Genomic DNA, 21147 nt, shown 5'->3' with positions numbered 1-21147 from the left:
GGTTTCTATATGTTTCACAGAATAAGATGTGGTCCAGGGATTGGATGAGTCCATAGAGAATATCCTAATTGCCTCTTGAGCAGCAAGGACCATTATTAATGTGATTTCATTCTGTAAGGTGGTAATTCTTCTGTCAGTGTATGTAGATACAAAAGAAATGTAAACACCATAATTTAAAAATCCATTTACAGACATGAGAAGATGGAGACAGGGCACTAGTATGAGATAGACTTTAGAGGAAACTTCATGCCAGATATTATAATGGAAATCCTAATATGTAGCCAAATTCGGGTCAGTACAGGTGGAATAATACTGAGGGATTTAGAATAGGTTAGGATTTAATTCCTGCATCTATGCCTCAATTAACTGTGTAATTTTGAGTAAATTCCTCATCCTTTCTGTTCCTCAGCTTTCTTATCTGTAAAACAGTAGTAATAACTGCCTCACAGAATTGTGCTGAAAATTAAATGATATAATGACATAAGGTTCATAAAATATGTAGCACAATTAATTAATGGCACATGATAAATGACTAATTAGGACTCCGGTGGCTGTGGAGAAGAAAAGACTAAGCAACTCCACCTTAAGTAACAGCCATTTCTTACTTCATATGACTAAAGAGTCTACATGAGTCATATGAAGAGCGTACACAACTATTTTCTTTTTGCTTCTTTGTTTCTCAGATTTGCATTCTTCTACATATTTGGCTTCTACTTATGGTTTGCTTTTATGATTACAACATGGCAGCAGCTGTTTCTCATATTCCCTCACGAAAGAGCACAAAAGTGTCTGCTTTTTCCTAGGAATTCCATTAATTCCTACATATCATTGGTTCTGCATGGATTTTTTTCCCCAACACAATATCCAGCAGTCTCAGTTCCATTAAAAACAATAGACTAAGAGCAGGTAAGTGGCCATTTCCCAGGCATAAGTTGGAATAAGCTTACCAATGGATGGCTTTCAAATTCCTCCCTAATGAGCATGCAGTTGTGGTAACCATCATATTGCCATCATCGTTGAGATTGCCATAATGGAATTTTGGTGACCAATTTAGAGGAGAGAGAAAAGGGTGTGCACCTGAGAAAGTCTACACGCTATTCAATTATTTCTGCTTTGTAACATACAGAATAAAAGGAAAGACATTCAAACGGGAAATAAGTACATAGAACAAGCCATAGGAGGTGTAGAATTTTGGGACAGGAGGGAACATTTCAGATGCTGGTTCTATCAGGGAATTGGTGAAAGACAAAAAGTGCTCTATGAATCTAAACTCAGATGTTGACCTACATATTTTTGAAATCTAAAAGCTTAGTAAGTTTCTACACTTAAATTTAAAATGCAAAAATCACAAACTAGTCTAGCAAAAAGTGTATTTTTTTTCCTTCCCATGCTGTTGCTAAAAAACAAAACAAAAACAAAAACTTATCTAGTTCTCATGATGAACAGTGGTCAATCTCAAAGACTCCCAGTGCAACTTTGGAATAACAGAATTTTTGTCAACCTTAACTCTCATTTTAAAAATATTATCATTTTATTTCCTGATCTTAATACTTTTCCAAATGCTCTAAACTTTGCAGTATTTATATCCTTATGCCCACTATTCATATGACTTTTATACTTGTGTCTTCTACTGCTATCAATTTTTAATGATTTATATATCTCTACCTTAATCTCAGATCTTTCTCTTGGGCCCCAGGCCTGCAATTCCATTCCCTTTTGACTGATAGAGAACTGATGTTCAACACCTCTGATACTGAATTTATGATCTCCTTCCCAAAGGTGTTCATATTACATTTCATTTCAGTGAATGTCATCATAATTCATCCTATCTCCCACACTGTGAAGGAAGCGCCTCCTCTTTTAATCTTTCCTCCCTCATTACATATATGCCATCACCAAACACGTTTGGTTGATTTAATTTAGAAAAGCTTCTTAAGTCTGCAGTCTCTACTCTATGCCCATGGTGATCGCCTTGGTCCGGGTCTTCATCAGCTCACATTTTGAAAAAAAATCATTGATTTATTCACAAAATATTTACTGAGTAGCTACTATATCCCAGGCAATGTTCTGGTCACTGAGGCTATGGCAATCATCTCAAAAGATATAAAAAATGACATACTAGTGGGAAAATGATAACTATTCCTGTAATGATTTTTTTAAAGAAAAATAAAATAGGAAATAAGGAAAGAGAGTAGCAGCGACTGTTATTTAAAGAAGGTGATTCAAATCAATCTATGTAAAGTGGCAATATTTGAGCAGAGACTTGAAGGAGGTAAAGACAAAAGGCTTGTCACTCCCTCCTCTCTTACTGGCCTCTACTAACTTGTCACTCTCTCTGAAACAATCTTTTCCAGGGAACACAGGAGTTATTTTGTATACAGATAAGAGTCAATTATGTAGCTCTTCTATTTAAGAAACTGTCAGTTGTTTACCCTCTTGTTCCTGCTTCTCATTTCCTACTCCACATCCTATACTCTCATCATCTACCCTTCCCATTGATCTCTACATATAGCATAACTTTTTATGCCTTTACACACTTAGTTTAAAAAAAAATCTAAAAGGAACTTTCCTCTTCCCAATCCATTAACTTTCTGCTAAACCCTTAAGGACTCATCTTAAATGTCACTTTCTCTGGTGAGTCTTCCCTAATTTCTGGTAGTAACAGTAGTCACATCATCTCTTATACCTACTTTGTCATGGTGTGTAACACAATGGATTGAAATTTCTTACCTTTTACATCAGTCTACCTTTAGGGCGGTGATTGACATTTATTTGGGCATACGGCTCAGTGACTGATGCTTGTAGATAGTAAATATGTTTGTAGAATCAATCAAGTAGCTTGGAGTGAAGAAAGGAGATTAACGGTTGGGGGCTCAATTATCTTTGCCAGTCACAAAAATCTGTGGCTTGATTCTAATTTCATTAGCAAAATAAAGTTATATTTTATATGCATGTCTACACTTCTGCATTTGAGTATTTGCTCTTGGGGTTTTCCTTTATCTTTTCTTTCAGTTTTTCTGGTGTGTGTGTGTGTGTGTGTGTGTATGTATTTACATGTGCCATTTTGTATTCCATATAAAGGGCAAAGGGAAATTGTACAAACTTAAAACCATGATAGTTTAGCATACCACCTACAGGCCTTTAAAGGACAGGTGTGGTATCCAGCTCAAGAGAAATGAGAACATCTATGAAAAGGGGATCTTAAGCTCCTTATCCAGCAGCCTAAGACATGGGTTGCTTTCTGATGGAAAATTTCTCTGTAGGAGCTGAGTGAAGTGAAACATATCTAAAGTGTTGAATTCATTTCTGCTTCTGTGACACAGGTGAATTTTTCATTCTCATCCAATTCTATGCCAGGTGTTGAAAAATAGGGAAGGATTAAAACAAGTTATTTATTATTTTTATTATTGTTTATTGATTGCTTAACTATGTGAGGCTGAGCTAAACTCATATTATCAAATATTACTCTTTTCACTATTCTTTTGTTGAGGCATGATTTTCACCATTTACAGAGAAAATCAGTTCAGACAGTTTCAGTTACATGACTATTCATGTATCTATTAGGAAGTAGAGCTGGGACAAAATTCAAGTATCTACATCAAGTCTACATAAATCTATGTTTTAGAACCATAGATTGTTAATTTCCATTTAGTAGGCATCTAAGTAATGCCTGCTTAAAAATGTAGTTTGTACATGGAATAGAATATATATATATGTATATATACATAAAATTTTGTAAAAAAAAACTATAAAACACTAATTTTCAATGATTCTCATGAATTTTCCCTCAAAGTAACTTGAAAGTGATTGCTAATGCCCCTGATTTCTTGCCACAAAGCCCTTAAAGAGCTGTCTTTTTAAAAGAGGAGCTATAAATTTCACTTGGTTGAATTTTTTTCTGTTAACAAGCCAGTCTCTTTAACATTAGAGAATATTTTTATAAAGGAATATTAATAGGACAAACAATTGTAAGATTGTGTGTCATACTGGCAAAATCAAGGATTAAAAATAGTTTTAAGAATGCTTTAAATATGGTAATTGCAGTACCGCAAAGAAAAAGATGATCTATTTTCTCTTCTTTGTTTGCATAAAGACTCATATATCTTACTACATATCCTTGGCATATTAAGATCCGTTGTAGATGGTTGAAAAAGAAATTCTAACAGATAATTTGCCCCTGAAATAAGTGAAAATGATGAAAATAAAGACTGACATCTAATTTTAAAATGCTTTCATTTATAAATGTGACAACTGAGTAGACAGTGAGCAGACATACATGATCAAAAAATTCTTTGTAAGCAACTCCTCAGAGCAATTTAGTGGTTATTTGATTAAACAAATAGAGTGGGTCTGAAACTTCACAATGGCAGAAATTAGTATCTTTTGCAGAAACGAAAAAGAATGTGTTGTGCTCCGACCATCAGGCTAAAATACGGTTTTTTACAACATAATCCAGGCTCCAGTTCTTCCACCCGAAGTCCCGCACAAGTTGATCTTTGGGAACAGTAGAAAAAAACATGGATGCATTTCACTTTAGGACTGAATTATAAATGTCTTCATGGTCTCACTATGTTGGGATATTTGAGGCAACCAGGAATAGTAAGCGCTGAAGCCAAAAATAGAACCGATTTTTCTGGTGGTCAGTACGCACTGAGCCTGGGTCAGATAGTCAGGCAGGGGTGTTTTCGTCAGCATCCTGGCCGAGGCTTATAAGCTCTGATTAGAATTACTGGTCCTCACTAAATCACTGTAGGCTGAGAGCTAGGTCACTATTTGGCTAGATTTAATTTCGCCTTCAACATGAGAAATCAGTGTGTCATGTTTCTACACAAAAGGGAAAAGCATTTAAATATTGTATCTATGTGAAGGCCAATTATGTTATCTCATTCTTATGTATTCCTGCTATAAAATATTTGAGGGCGACAATCAGGCATATCATTGGTTCCATTTTTCTTCTCTCATTTTCCAGATTACAAGATTTTTAGTAAGGCCAATCTTTTAGGATTTTGTAGAAATTTCTTTCTTCCTTCTTTCTTTTTTTCTTTGTTGTTGTTGTTGTTAGTCCCTTGTTTGTAATTTCTGCCTACTTAGTCAGACTTTACTTCATTCAAAAACCTAAATTTTACCTAGCACTTTGGGAGGCCAAGGCAGACGGATTGCCTGAGCTCAGGAGTTCGAGACCAGCCTGGGCAACACGGTGAAACCCCATCTTTACTAAAATACAAAAGAAATTAGCCGGGTGTGGCGGCATGCGCCTCTAATCCCAGCTACTCGGGAGGCTGAGGTGGGAGAATTGCTTGAACCCGGGAGGCGGAGGTTGCAGTGAGCTGAGATTGTGCCACTGCACTCCAGCTTGGGCGACAGAGCGAGACTCTGTCTCCACCAAAAAAAAAAAAAAACTAATAATAATAATAAATAAATAAATAAATTTTCAATGTTTAATGATACGTAATAATTGCACATATTTATAGGAATACATGTGATATTTTGATACACACATACAATGTTTAATGATCAAATGAGGGTTATTGGGATATTCATCACCTCAAGCACTTATTATTTCATTGTGTTAGGAACATTCCAACTTCACTCTTCTAGTTATTTTGAAATACGCAATAAATGATTGTTACCTATGGTTACCTTATTGTGATAATGAACACTGATTTTATTACTTTCATCTAACCATATTTGTACTCATTAACCAATCCCTCTTAAAACTTGTTTCTTCACTACCCTTCCCAGTTTATTATAACCATTGTTTTCCTATATCTATAAGATCAATTTTTTTAGCTCCCACATATGAGTGAAAACATGAGATATTGGTCATTCTGTGCCTAGCTCATTTCACTTAACATGATGTCTTCCAGTTCCGTCCATGTGCTCAACATCACTAATCATCAGAGAAATGCAAATCAAGACTACAATGAGCTATTATCTCACCCCAATTAAAATGGTTTTATCAAAAAATAAAACACAGGCAACAATGAATGTTGATGAGAATGTGGAGAAAGGGGGACACTTGTACACTGTTAGTAGAAATGTAAATTAGTAAAACCATGGAGGTCCCTCAAAAAACTAAAAATTGAAGTTATTTTATTATATATTATCTACTCCAATTACATATGGCAAGCTTTTTTTTTCTAATTTTTAAAATATTGTGTTACATTAGTTAAGATATTGAACAATTTGATATTGTTCTTTAAAAGCTTATTACTGAGGCCGTGCATGGTGGCTCACACCTATAATCCCAGCACTTTAGCAGGCCAAGGAAGGAGGATCTCTTGAGTTCAGGAGTTTGAGACCAGCCTGGGCAACATAGGGACACCCTGTCTCTACAAAAGGATGAAAATTAGCTGAGCAAGGTGGTGTGTGTCTGTAGTCCTAGCTACTTGGGAAGCTGAGGCAGGAGGATTGCTTGAGCCTAGGAGGTCAAGGCTGCAGTGAACTATGATCATGCTATTGCACTCCAGCCTGGGGATGACAGGACAAGACCCTGTCTTTAAAAATAAATAAATACATAAATAAATAAATCGCTTACTGCTAAATCCAACACTAGGACTGAGTTGTGCAAAAGATGACTCAGATTCAGACTCTCCAAATACATCCGAATCTGTTTCTATGAAAAAATGTTATAGGTTAAGTCATAGAACAACTTAAGAATATCAACTCAGAAACATTAACAAAAAATATGACCTACCTCACAACCAATAATGAAAACACAGGTTGTTATGATCCTCTAGCTACCAAACTCTATCATATGAATGTTGCATTGATTTTCCACTCTTTTCTAATTGCCACTAAGGGAAGAATATATTCCAGTATTGTGAAATTTTGAAAAATTAAGCAGTTCTCTGGAAAGAAGAGAGGGAGTGGAAAGCAGGGTTGTTAGCAGTAAATTTGCACTGCAGGTTCATTCTAAGAAATGAGGAAATTATGCTCTTCTGTTTTATTTTGGTGGCAAAAGGGGGAATGGTTATCAATGGAAGTTGGCAACTAGTGTTTGTCTTAGAATTTGAACAGTCTCCTTAAATCAATTCTTTGATCTTCCAACTCACTTTGCTGATTCTTTCCACTTTTTTCCTACTTTTCCATTGCAACTCAAAATCTAATGTATTTTAATGTTTATCCATTTTTGTCTTTACATCTAAAGTTTCTTAAAATTTTAATTTTTCATACCCACATGTGTTTCCTCCTTAGCCATTTGTATATTACTTCTTTTTTTAAATAATAGTAGGAAAAATGTTGCTCAAGTCAAGAAGAATCTTTATATTGAAAATTCATTATGATTTTATTATTATTATTATTGTTAATATTATTTTGAGATGAAGTCTCGCTTTGTCACCCAGGTTGGAGTGCAGTGGCACGATCTTGGTTCACTGCAACCTCCATCTCCAGAGTTCAAGCAATTCTCCTGCCTCAGCCTCCTGAGTACCTGGGACTACAGGTGCCTGCCACCACACACGGCTAATTTTTGTATTTTTAGTAGAGACGGGGTTTCACCATGTTGGCCAGGCTGGTCTCGAACTCCTGACCTCAAGTGATCCACCCACCTCGGCCTCTAAAAGTGCTGAGATTACAGGCATGAGCCACTTCACCCGGCCTCATTAAGATTTTAAAACATTATGAAATTTATGTAAGATTTCCAAATTCCCCAATCCCTAGTTGCACACTGTTTTGCTTTTCTACACATTATGGGAAATGTTTAAAATATAATCACTCCATTCATGGACTCAATTAATTATTGAAGTTGCCATTCATACTGCATTTATTGTGTACGAGTGAAAATTATGTTTTTGGGGATAATCAACAACAACTAAAATAAAAACAAACAAAATTCACTTTGCACTACCAGGGAGTAAAATGTTGCAGTAGAGAAGTAGAGCCCGAATTAAACAGAAAAATACTGGCCAATACTCCAACTTCAGGATAAATCCAACCTAGACGTCTGAGCTTACATAAAAGACCAAAACAACAGTTATAATTTACCAGGGCTAGTTCGACAGTACAACAGTTAAAGTCACCCAAGTTGTAAAAAGACAATGTATGGCATCTCTTTAATTAGAGTTTAAATCTGCTCATCTTGATGCGGTAATAAACAGAGAAATGTCAGGTTATATGCTCTTTTGGAAGACAGCACTTCTATATAACACATGTGGCAGTTTCCAATTCAAGCCCTGATTCCTGGCTCCTGCTTCTGAAACACAATGTTTCATTTTAATGAAAAATACATTACTGTGGTAAGATAGGTCATCAGCTGTTAAGTGTAATGCAATTTCTATAATAAAATTAATTTTATAGCTTGCATAAAAGACTTTACGCAGGTTAAATACTGTTAATTACTAGCTAAATTTTGTTCCTTAGAATGCATAAATGAAGCACCTCCACCCTCTATAAAAATAATGTCTATAGTATAAAATGTCCATAGGATTCTTTATGATTTCCATTTTTTATATTATGCTAAAATGCCAGCCATAGCCAACTGTGAGTTAATATGGCCTTTCATCGGTCACTGAAACAGAGGATATATTTGCTGATGTCTTAAGACTAAAACAGTTGTGCTGGTGAAAGGCCATTGCAATTTTCTTCTGGGTTACTTATTTAGAGATAGCAATTCAGACCAAAAAAACTCTGATACATGGTTATAGATTTACATAACCTAAGTGAACCATCCAGCAAATGGATGCAATTGATCTCAAAGGGAGGTGCAGGAGAGTAAACGACATTCAAACCCCACCTATAACCAACATTGGAAAAACATTTCAATGTGAGTACAATTACAGTCACATAAAAGGACAACATATTATTGGTCAAATGTACATGTGAGCATTAATGCAATAACCATTTTGCTCTGTGAAAAGTTTTCATTGAGCTATTTGCTAAAATAATGTCTTAAGTAATAAAGAATTTGGAATTAGTACAGAATATGGAATTGGACAGCTCTGAATTTGAATCCAAACTTTTTCATCAATTAGTTGCTTAGAGCTAGGACAAGTTACTGTATCTTCCTGATCCTGTTTTATTATCTGCTCTGTAAGTAAGTACGAGACAATTGCCTCATAGTGTTATTGACAGGCTTGAATATAATGTTGGATACAAATTTCCTGGCACTAACGTGGCCTTTATAGATGTTGCTTTTCCTTCTGTTTTGCTCTTTCTATTGACTCATGGGAGCCATTAAGGAAGAGATGTCATCAGATTTTAGATGCTCATTTGTTTGTCTACGCTATTGGGATACTACAGCGAATCACTGATTTGAATGGAGTGATACCTGGTTTAAAAAGGCATTACATTGTGTAAAATGTTACATTTAATTCAATCTAAGAAATTTTAAATTAGTTTTGCAAATAGCACATCTATGCTTTTTGACACTTGTTATATGGAAAACAGGAACCCTAGCAAAAAAAAAAAATAGGAAAAGTCTTCAGGAGAACATTTTTAAAAATATCCCTCATTTAACTCCAGACAGGAGGCAAAGACAGAGGAAGAGCGTACAGAAACTCCCAGATGTGGAAAGATGTCAGAGATTCTCTACTCTGCATTCTGTCACATTCAGGCTGTAGCTATTACCAGTGTACCTTGCTTTCCTGGTAATAAGGACACAATCGTTCATCCTCCCCTGGCCACTCTCAGCCTTGGAAGTTACTGTATAGTGGATAGTAGATACTGGATGAGCCATCACAAGGTGGCCCTGGCACAGAAAGCATGGGTGACAGGGCTCCACACAAGCAGAGGACAATTCAAACAGGCTGCGGGAAGATCATGCAGGGAAGCAATGTCGTTTCAACAAAGAACTCAGCAGGATAAATACGATCAAGCTCGTATCTCACAAATTATCACTTGTGTCTGAATGTCTTCCATTTCTGTTCGTATTCATTCCTAATGGATTAGGTCTCATCCCCCAAGTATGTTTCTAGTGAATATGAAAAACCCTATTGTCACATATTTCTTTCTTTATATACAACTACCATCATTTCATTAACTGTTGCTTAAAGGAACATTTTTTAAAAGTAATCTGACACGTTACTTTACCATTTTTTGATCAATTTATGTTGTGTCTTCTTTACATATACTTTGAAGGGCCATATCTGAAACAGAACTTTCTTTTTTCATTAAAAAACTAGCATATGTGGGCTATCTGCCTTTATATTCATTTTATTGACTATTTTACTATGAACAGTCTTATATTTTACTTTATATTAATTCCTCCAGATTAATGGCAAGTATTTAACCTAACATATGGATCCATCTCACTTAATATTAGTTTAACTTCATTTAATTCCTTTCTTTTTACTCATAATCAACTACTTTTCCTGATGAGATATTAAGAAAGAAGATATGTTTTGGCACCTCTGTCCATCTCTTTACCCATTTCTTACTCCTCTAAGAAGGGAAGAAATTCTAATCTGATTACACATTACCAATTAATCGGGCCACATTCACTTGTTGGTCGTCTGGCTGAATATTTTTACATCATGAGCAAACCATGGTGCTCTTCTTCTCTCTTGCCCTGCCTTAATGAAGTAAGGCGTTTTCCTTGGCTTATTTCCTTTCTCATTGAAGCAGAGTTGAAATGTTGAGACTGGGTGTAGCTTCTCCTAACCCCTGCCATATTATCTGCTGAAACTGAAGCGTGAAAATGACCTTCATGGACTCTGAGCCTCAGCTTCACATTTCCACACAGGCGCCACAGAGATGCCATATTATCTGATGAAACTGAAGGGTGAGAAATGACCTTCATGGACCTGGAGCCTCAGCTTCACATTTCCACACAGGCGCCACAGAGATGCCATATTATCTGATGAAACTGAAGAGTGAGAAATGACCTTCATGGACCTGGAGCCTCAGCTTCACATTTCCACACAGGTGCCACAGAGACGCCATATTATCTGATGAAACTGAAGAGTGAGAAATGACCTTCATGGACCTGGAGCCTCAGCTTCACATTTCCACACGGGCCCCACAGAGACACCATATTGGAGGGCAAGCTCAAGGCAGTGCCTTTACTAGAAAGGTTTTTAAAAGGGAACCCTTGTTCACATTTGTCAGGACACTGCTTATCTCTCTAGTTGAACCTGTATAACTTATTTTATAAGATGGTAAGATACAAAGACTCTTAATTTTCTATCTACCAGGACTCTTGACATAAATTCAAAGCTCACTTATAACAGCTCTAGCGTCCCAAGTGCCTTTGACTACACTCCAATTTAACGTATTGTTCAGTTTTTATGTAACTGTCTTCCTTATATTGTGCTTAATTTTCTTATTAATTTAACATTTTAAGAAGAATACTCTGCCGGGCGCGGTAGCTCACACCTGTAATCCCAGCACTTTGGGAGGCTGAGGCGGGTGGATCACGAGGTCAGGAGATCGAGACCATCCTGGCTAACAAGGTGAAACCCCGTCTCTACTAAAAATACAAAAAATTAGCCGGGCGTGGGGGCGGCGCCTGTAGTCCCAGCTACTCCGGAGGCTGAGGCAGGAGAATGGCGGGAACCCAGGAGGGGAGCTTGCAGTGAGCCCAGATCGCGCCCCTGCACTCCAGCCTGGGTGACAGAGCGAGACTCCGTCTCAAAAAAAAAAAAAAAAAAAAAAAAAAAAAAAAAAAAAAAAAAAAGAATACTCATTCTGAGAAGTTTACAAATCAGTTAGGCTTAATTAAGTGTTTAAAGAAATTAAATGTTTTAAAAATATTAAAGGCACACATATAAAATAATGATACTAGACTTAATTATGGAGAGCAGCCTCCCCTACAAATTTCAGCCACGATACAAGAGCAGTAAGCAGATCAGACTACTCACCTTCATTCCAACATTTCAAGTGACTGGGGAAAGAATAGGGACAAAATAAAATAAAACAAAATAAAGGTTTCTTGTGGAACACTGAAAAATTATTATGTGCCAAAGTGTAAGAATGCTTTATATCCATCACATCATTTGTCCTGGGAGGTACTTTCTATTATTGATTTCATTTGACAAATGAGGAAACAGAGGTCTGAATAGGCAGAGAAACAACTGTCAACTTTGTACTTCTTAGTACAACTTTACTGCCTCTGAGGCCTGCCTACATTCCTGCACTGGGGTTTCGTGAACATCGCTTGAGGCCATTGGCCCTATGTCTGTCATCTCTTATGTTTCATTAATAAACACCCTCAGCTCTTGATCTGTGAGGATCTTAATAAATATGGTTGTATTAAATTGTTGCACTTTAAAGAATAATATATGATATTAAGAAATACTATTTCTGATAACAGCTTAAGCCATAATATGAAGTGTGCTGATACAAGAGGAGTTTGTAGGTCTTAAAAACAAAAAAACAAAAAAACTAAGCTTTAATTTAGTATAAGTTTCTGACTTTTCTGCTAAAATTTATCTAGGAGTATATATAAAGAAAAGGCCTTATTGGATAAACTGGTAAATGCATCTCTCAAGTTTTATTTTATATTCAACATAATATGAAGTAAAAATAAAATACAACTAAGAAATATATAGCATTGGCTACTTTTTGAAACATTTCTCCACAAAATAGCAGGTAAAATATGAAAAAGTTTCGACACAATGTTTTGAATCTCTATTTCTTTATATCCTAAAGGAAATAAGAATTTGATATGCCTCAAGGAAAAAAAAACCAACAAAGATTTTTTTTTGCGGGGGAAAGAAAGTCTACTATCCAGCCTCGGAGATTAGATTTAAAAGCCAAGGAAAACTTTGTTAGATTGTAGTGTGACAGAGCAAACCAATCTTTAAATCTACCAAAACACTTCTAGAATGCTAGAACACAGTATGTGTGAAAAAATGACAAGTGTTTTGAGAAACATCATTTTTTTATGTCCTAAACCACTGACATACAAAGTATGAAAAGATGTGGTATAACATGGATTTGAGAATATATACTGTAGAACAACTATTAACAAGCTTTTTTTGGTATTGAAGTGTGTTCCACAAAACAGTTTTTACTGTTACATGAAGAAGAAAGTGAACCAAAGTAAATTAAACTACCAGAAAGAGGTGTTAGCTTGACATTAAGAATCTACAAATCTACATTTGTTTCCATTCTTAAAAATCAGCTTTTAATTAATAATAATAAGATTATAATCATTAAAAAATATATATTTTTAAAGTATTTGTTTACTTTCCTTAACTTGTAAATCACTACTGGTGTTTTCCAATTCTCTTAGTGAATTTAAATGACAATATCATTCCTTAATTTTTCTATGACCTGAAAAAGTCCAATTAGAAAATGAGCAAATTGCTCACAATGCTCACAGAAATCAAAGTAAAAGCTTGTATTTAAAGAACATCAGTCTCTACTAAAACAAGAAATACCTAAAGATACGAATATATCCTAAATGTTGCAAAGCACATAAACCGGGTTGAAATAAAAATTTGAATGGGTAATTATGTAACATAAAGCCAGATAACCCAACCAGTTCATAACATTTTATACTTAATATAGGATATTATAAATTAGATAGTTACTGATGAGATAATAGCTTTTATAGTTAACTCTGTAGTAATTAAGTAGGATGGCAAGGCAGCAAAGAGGTCAAATTAATTTCTGAGTTCTTCCATTTATCTTTAGAAATGATGGGGAAAATTCTAACTCCAAAAGTGTTTTGTGGGAATCCAAAGAACAGTTTTGACAAAGAGGAGATCTCAAGAAAGCATTTATGATTAAGCAACCTGACATAAACAGTAATCACAAATTATTAGAACCAGTTGATGTTTATCTAAATGGATAAATCATTCATCTGGATAATTATCAACCCAGACAAACTACAGGCCCTGAAATTGCAATTATGAAGGAGAACCAATCAAATCTTATGACCAAATTTAAAATTTTCACGATGGTAGAAATTATGAATCATAAAATGCTACCTTTGACTCAAGAAATGCAACCCTTGGTTAGACAGTATATTAAAAACTAGATGGCTAATGAGATATTTGTATGGTTTCTTTTTACACTTGTTTTCGTGACATTAAGACTCTCAAAGAATCGCAAATTCAAATAAAGCAATAGCCCTCTTTATTGGGGAATCTGCCCTGATATTCCGTAGGTTCTTTTCTATTTTCCCTAAGTGCCGGCCGGCTTGAGAAATAAAGGGACAGAGTATGAAAGAGAGAAATTTTAAAGCTGGGCGTCTGGGGGAGACATCACATGTCAGTAGGTTCCATGATGCCCAGCTTTAAAACAAGCCACAAAAACCAGCAAGTTTTTATTAGAGATTTTCAAAAGGGGAGGGAGTGTGCGAATAGGTGTGGGTGACAGACATCAAGTACTTTACAAGGTAATAGAATATCACAAGGCAAATGGAGGCAGGGTGAGATCACAGGACCACAGGACAGGGGCGAAATTAAAATTGCTAATGAAGTTTCGGGCACCATTGTCATTGATAACATCTTATCAGAAGACAGGTTTTGAGATCAACCGGTATGACCAAAATTATTAGGTGGGAATTTCCTCTTCCTAATAAGCCTGGGAGCGCTATGGGAGACTGGAGTCCATTTCATCTCTGCAATGTCGAACATAAGAGATGACCACGCCCAGCGGGGCCAGTTCAGAGACCCAACCCCAGGTGCGCATACTCTTTCTCAAGGATGTTCCATGCTGAGAAAAAGAATTCAGTGATATTTCTCCCATTTGCTTTTGAAAGAAGAGAAATATGGCTCTGTTCCGCCCGGCTCACCAGCGGTCAGAGTTTAAGGTTATCTCTGTTGTTTCCTAAACACTGCTGTCGCCTTGTTCTTTTTTCAAGGTACCCAGATTTCATATTGCTTAAACACACATGCTCTATAATTTGTGCAGTTAATGCAATTATCACTTGGTCCTGAGGCGACATACATCCTCCTCATCTGACAGGATTAAGAGATTAAAGTAAAGACAGGCATAGGAAATCACAAGGGTATTGATTGGGGAAGTGATAAGTGTCCGTGAAATCTTCACAACTTATGTTTAGAGATTGCAGTAAAGACAGGCATAAGAAATTACAAAAGTATTAATTTGGGGAACCAATAAATGTCCATAAAATCTTCACAATCCACGTTCTTCTACCATGGCTTCAGCCGGTCCCTTCGTTCAGGGTCCCTGACTTCCCGCAACACCTCTTCTCTCTGAGTTTAGCTTAGACTTTCCCTTAGCTAACGTGTCTGAACGTGTTCTTTGTTCTTGAGCAAGAGTTCACCATTAAAACTCACACAGAAAGAACTTGTCAAGACTTTACTAAATACAGTTTAGGATGTTTCTAATTTTCATTAAAAAAAAAGTGTAGGTATTTTTAATGAGATTACATAATTTCTAAGTCAGTTATTTAAGACCCACCAAATTACAATAATTTATTTCTTTCAGGAAAAAAAAAAAAACTAGCAATAAGCCTGCTGTCTGGCTTCATCAGCTCTAGATGCAAATAGGAAACTAAGGCAATATTCCATTGAGAGCTGATGGTGGATTATACCAGTGTAGTGTCAGTGTAAATTACTTCAACTGGTATTCAATTTAAAAGCAGACTTGCAGGATTTCCTGATGGATTGAATCTGGGAAAAATAGAAATAACAGGTAAGGATAACTTCATAGAGTTTGGTTTAAATAATCGAAGAATAAAATTATCATTTATTGAGCTGGCCAACTTGCAGGAGAACCAGGTTTAGGGAGAAAATCAGAAAGTCAATTTTGCAAATAATAACCTTGAGTTACTTATTAGATTTCAAGAAGTAATATCAACTAGGTGGCTCAATGTACAATTCCAGAGTTCTACAGCACAATGAAGGCTGGGGATTAAAAACTTGAAAATTGGCAGTATAGGCATAGGAGTTAAAGCATGACACCATCTGAGATAAAAAGAAAATGCATTTAAATAGAGGAAATAAATGCCAGAATCATCCCTTCTGTGCTGTAATTGAGAAATCAGGAAGATGGTGGTCAACGAAGCAACCTAGGAAGCAGCAGCTAATAAGGTAAACAGAATTGACAATATTGTGTCCTGGAACCCAAGTGACAAATATGTTTTAAGGAGAAGTCAATGATTACCTATGTCAAATTCTGTGAAAAGGACTAAAAGTTGAAGAATATGGAGATCAATGTTGGCCTTGGCAACAACAAATTTTGGAAAGTAGAAAAGGAGAAGGCAGATTGGGGTGGAATCTTTAAAAACCAAGATGAAAGCATTTGGGTACAATGGATGCATGGAGTTTTGCTCTCAGGATCAGAGAAAGGAGGCAGTATCTTGAGAGATTTGTAGAATATGGAAAGGTATTTTAAAATAAGAATAATTGTAGCATGTTTGCATATGAAGAATATGATTAATTAGCAAGAGGAGAATTGATGATACAGAAGAAAGGGAAAAGTTGGTGGAATAATGTTCCTGCATTAATTGAGAGGCGATAGGGTCTGGCACACAGGTAGAAGGCTTAGCATTTCCTATGAACACACTGTGGCCTCTTAGGGCACCTTCTCCATAGCACCCACAGTGATATTTTCTCGTATTAAGCCAGATCATAAGGTATGGCTGGATAAAAAGTCTTCAGTGGCTTTCCATCTCATTCAAAGTAAAAGCCTGAGATGTTACAGAGGCCTACAAGGAACTATGTAATTTGGCTCCATTACCCCACTGTCTCCTTCTGCTCTCACTGTCCTTCAGCTGACTACAGCCCAGTCAGACAGAGCTCCTTACCCTCCCTCAAACACACCAGACACCTGCAGGCCTCTCTACCTGCAAAGTCTGTACTCTTAACAACTAGGCTATCCTGCATGGCTTGTCTTCTCTGTTCCTTTGCGTCTTTGCTCACATTTCACCTGCTTAATGAAGTCTTTCCTGACCTTGTAACCGTCCACCCTCCATGTGTATTTCTTCTCCTTAGCACTTACCAATACATGACATATTAAGAGTTTTAAATATTTTCTTTGATAATTGTCTTACCCCTCTAAATAATAGATTTTAAGAGAACACAAATTTTCGCCCGTTGTTCACTGCTATATATCCAGCAGCTAAATTACTATCTATCACATATTACATGCTCAGTAAGTTTGCCAGATAAATGAAGAAATGATATTTTAGGGCTTAACCTCAAATTTTTACTGCTTTGCATAAAAATCCTAAAGCAACATTAATGTTTAAACAATATGCAATCACATACACTAGAGGGTATTGTAGTTTTCAATGAGATTTCTCATATTGGTAACTAGAGCATTGGTGAAAGTTTACAAAAAAAATACATTTCCTACTTCGTAATTGGAAGAAACCAGGCCCTCTCGGAAATGTTTCTGATATGACACCAAGTACAGATAAATGCTACAGGATAAGAATAATATAAAAAAGAGATTCCTTTTCTACTTAATTGTATGGAGCCTGATATATTTATGGCTCTTCAGGTAAACAATAGTTTTTTTTTTAAACAATTCCAAGGCTCTGGTATATTCTATTGCAAAGAAAAGCAGTGAATCACAGGAATTCTGTAAACTATTTGACTAAATTTGGTTGCCAATCTCTACCATGTTTTCCAAACATTTGTTCAAAAAGTTTCCTCTTAGTCCCTGTTACTAGTATACACAATAGCTGTTATTTGTTGATGATTATTATGCAGATATTGTCCTCCTTTGATCTTGATATACAATAATTAATCATACAACAGATGTGAGCTGTGTTGTATTCTTTATTATCCCCATTTTTAACAGAAGGGAACTGGGGCTTAGAAAAATCAGATAACTGGCCTGTGATCACATTTCTGATTTGTGTCAAATCTGGGATTCAAACCAAAAAAGCCGACTCCAGAATTCACAGCCTGAACCACTTTGCTCAGCTATTGCCTTGGGCTTCCTAGGTCAGCCATACAACCTCAGGAACCCTACAGTCATTGAGCTGGAGACTCGTATTTGTCCATGGAAAGTGTCTTTGTTTCGAAAGAGCTAATCAAGAATTCACATTAAAGCAAAAAGACAATTGAAAAGAAATTGCTGCCTTCAAACACGCAGTCAAGAAGATAACAGCCAGATTCCAAAAGATTCTGATGCAATCTAAACTAACTTGATTGATTATATCTATCAGTTTAATTATCTTTTAATATTTATATAAAATATTATTTCTTAAATTCTTAAAACTTAATAAACATGAAATTTTAAAGAGAACAGAAAAGAACTTACTATAAAGTAACACTAAGATAAATGTCTGAAAACCTAATTTCTAATTTCATTTCTTTGTCAGTCTAACTGATTGCATTCCTTAACATAGGTGAGCCTGTTTATTCACATATAAAATTGGCAGACTACATCATATTTCTCTATTCCTTTCTTCTCTGTGGATTCTAATATCCTTAAAATAAAGTTTTCTCTTAAATTTATTCTTGCTAATTTGAAAAATGTTCAATAAACGTCTGTTTTTGCAAAAACTTATTAGTCTTATGTCTATGGTATTATTCTTAAGAAAATGGTTCATTATAAAAAATATTTGGTTTCATAATTTAATATTTTGTACAACTAAAGAGGTTAACTTATATAAAATATTAATTAGCAAATAATTAAATAATTTTGAGTATTCATTTGCATTATCCATTCTAAGTTATAAATTGGTGTAAGACTACAGATTTGATGAAGAGACTGGATGCTGACTAATCATTCTGATGCAAGCTTACAAAGAATAATTTCAACACTCTCCAAAATGGAGTGAGTTATTAGCATGTCATGCTATTTATTGTGTGATATGATAAATATAATATGATTCATCATGACATTCTATAAATATTGCAGAGGATTATTAAAGTGATAAAATCCATTGGCAGAAATATAATGAGATCATGTCACATTTGTATAAAAGCTACATGATAAATTGTGCTCTCTACAGAGGCTGTTGTAACCTTAGATGGATTTAAAGTGAGAATTCTTGGAACACAAAGCAAAAGAAAACAATCCTAAATTGTACTTAGGGTTCAATTAAGAGCAGCTGTTGTGAGCAGGGAATAATACAGGAGTAGAGAAAGATTATCATCTGCACTGCCATGGGATGAACAATTTTTCAATATAGGGACTATTCTTTAAATAGTTAGTCTAAAATATTTCAGACAAAATTCAGAATAACCACTTCACTGAATCAACATGTCTAAGTAAAAGTTCAAATGGCAGCATATATGTGTGTGTGTGTGTGTGTATATATATATATATATTTAGTTTAAATATGCATATATTTAGTTTAAAAATTGGTATATGAAAACCCATATCAGGCTGTATTTTTATGCATTTAAAATTTTACTTTGTCAGATAATTTTTACTTCTTCCCTAACATGATAAAAATATACCCCTTTGGAGGAAAGGTTATTATAAGGGAAATTTTATTTTCTAAGTAGAGGCTTTTTAGGTTTCTGATGCTTTTACAGACAGAATTTGCCAAAGATTTTGTTTCTTACAGTGCAAAATACAGTTAATTAGTGGCCAACAATCTTTGGTATCGATTTGGAAGTAATTATTCAACACAACACGATTGTTGTCTTTACAAATGATTTTTGAATCATATACACAGTTTTTTAAAAGCTGCTTTGTAGTCATCTTCCTTGAGATTGTAAATTGTTCTCACACGTTATTTAAAATATCCTGATAATAAGCACTAATTGCTACTTTACAATTAAGCAAAGATAAACATATTCTATAATTGTAGGACAAGCAACCACAATGATTGTTTAAAGCATTTTTGGGAGGAAATCTAGTTAACTCTGACAACGGAGAGATACGGACCCTGTGTCTATCACTACATTAATGAAATCTTTATGGGCTCCAAATTTTTCGTTTCTTACAATAATTTTTATGCTATTATATTTTTTAACCACTTTTGCTTCATTTCTTTAAGTTGTTTCAACTTATCTATTTCCTTATATATGGACTCAATATAACAACAATCTGGAATGCAAATTGATTAATGACTATACATATAATCTTTGTTATACTCCTGTGATAAAGATATAGAAGTCAAGTACAAACAAACAAAGAAAAAAAATCATACCTTTCTTTTATGGCAGCACGGCACATTTGAAATAAAATTTGAAAAGATAGGTATTATTAGGCCATACACCTTTTAAAATATTTAGTTCTCTTTTTTATTTTTAAAATGTTATTTCCAGGAGCATAGATTCAAGTTGCCCTGAATAGACACTTCCTAAAATATCTTAGCTCTATTGTGCTTCTACATTGTATGTATTTTTTCAGGCCCCCAATTTTTATTTTGCATTAAAAGAAAATCAGTTTAAAATTAAAAGACCTGATTCAGATGTACCTATATTTGCTAAAGGAATAAAAGTAATTATTAGAAAAATCTTTCTTTTTAAGGATTGTTAGAGAGCTAATCATATATTAGTATTCAGAAAGATTTCAAATCACCGATAATTTGCCTTTAAATTTGGTCATCAGAGGACCAAACCATAATTCTCTAATGAGAGTGGAACTACCTAGTAGCTTGGCCCAGAGGATGAGGGTTATGCTAGTTCCCTGGACTGGTTCACTGCTGACTCCTCGAATTTGAAGGCAACCATCTATAATGGGAGAGGCCAGAGGATTTGCAGCCGAGCTTCCTCAGCAAAATACTTAGCCCCTCATCAGCTGTGTAACCTTCATAATATGTGTCAGTTTCCCCCTGCTGCATAACAGATTACAACAAAATTAGAAGCGTAACACAACACACGAGCATTATTTCATTTTCCATGGGTCAGGAATCTGAGTGTGGCTCAACTGGATCCTCTGCTCTGGGTCTCACGAGGCTAAAATCAAGGTGTCGACCAGTCTGCAATTCTCACGTGAAACTTGGAGGTCTTTTTCCAGTCTCATGCTGATTGATGGCAGAATTCAGCTTCTTGCAGTTAGAGGACTAACGTCCCTGTTTCTCTGCTGGTTGTCAACGAGAGTTGCTTTCAACTCTTGGAGGCCACCTTCAGATCCTAGCCATATGGCCCTCTCAAAACATAGCAGCTTACTTCTCTAAAGCTAGAGGGAACTCTCCAGTCTGCTATAAAGGAGGCTTATGTAACAAGAAATAATCACAAGAGGATCACTCTTGTGGTATAATTTGCTTAGTTATATTCACACACACACACCAATTCCACTTAAAGGTAGGGTATTAAACAAAGCACATGTACTCAGGAGACAAAACAGATGTACAGAGATTTTACTCTGCCATAAGTC

At 35.4% G+C, this 21147-nt stretch overlaps 1 protein-coding gene across 9 annotated transcripts in view, besides 1 other annotated feature; it reads right to left on the bottom strand.

The window, feature by feature from the left end:
* ROBO2 (roundabout guidance receptor 2) overlaps positions 1-21147 on the bottom strand; it is a 1743290-nt gene that overhangs the window by 1565083 nt on the left and 157060 nt on the right. The window lies entirely within an intron of this gene.
* Positions 14057-14914: an enhancer, noted in NCBI's record as "OCT4-NANOG hESC enhancer chr3:76119119-76119976 (GRCh37/hg19 assembly coordinates)". NCBI's record gives its function as "activates a minimal SCP1, AML or CMV promoter by ChIP-STARR-seq in primed H9 embryonic stem cells {active_cell/tissue: H9 hESC(primed)}" and the evidence as "EXISTENCE:reporter gene assay evidence [ECO:0000049][PMID:30033119]".

This window comes from Homo sapiens, chromosome 3 (genome assembly GCF_000001405.40).
Source record: "Homo sapiens chromosome 3, GRCh38.p14 Primary Assembly".
In the NCBI taxonomy this organism is placed as follows: Eukaryota; Metazoa; Chordata; class Mammalia; order Primates; family Hominidae; genus Homo; species Homo sapiens.
Note: the sequence above shows the minus strand (reverse complement) of the source record. Positions and strands in the feature narration are given on the sequence as shown.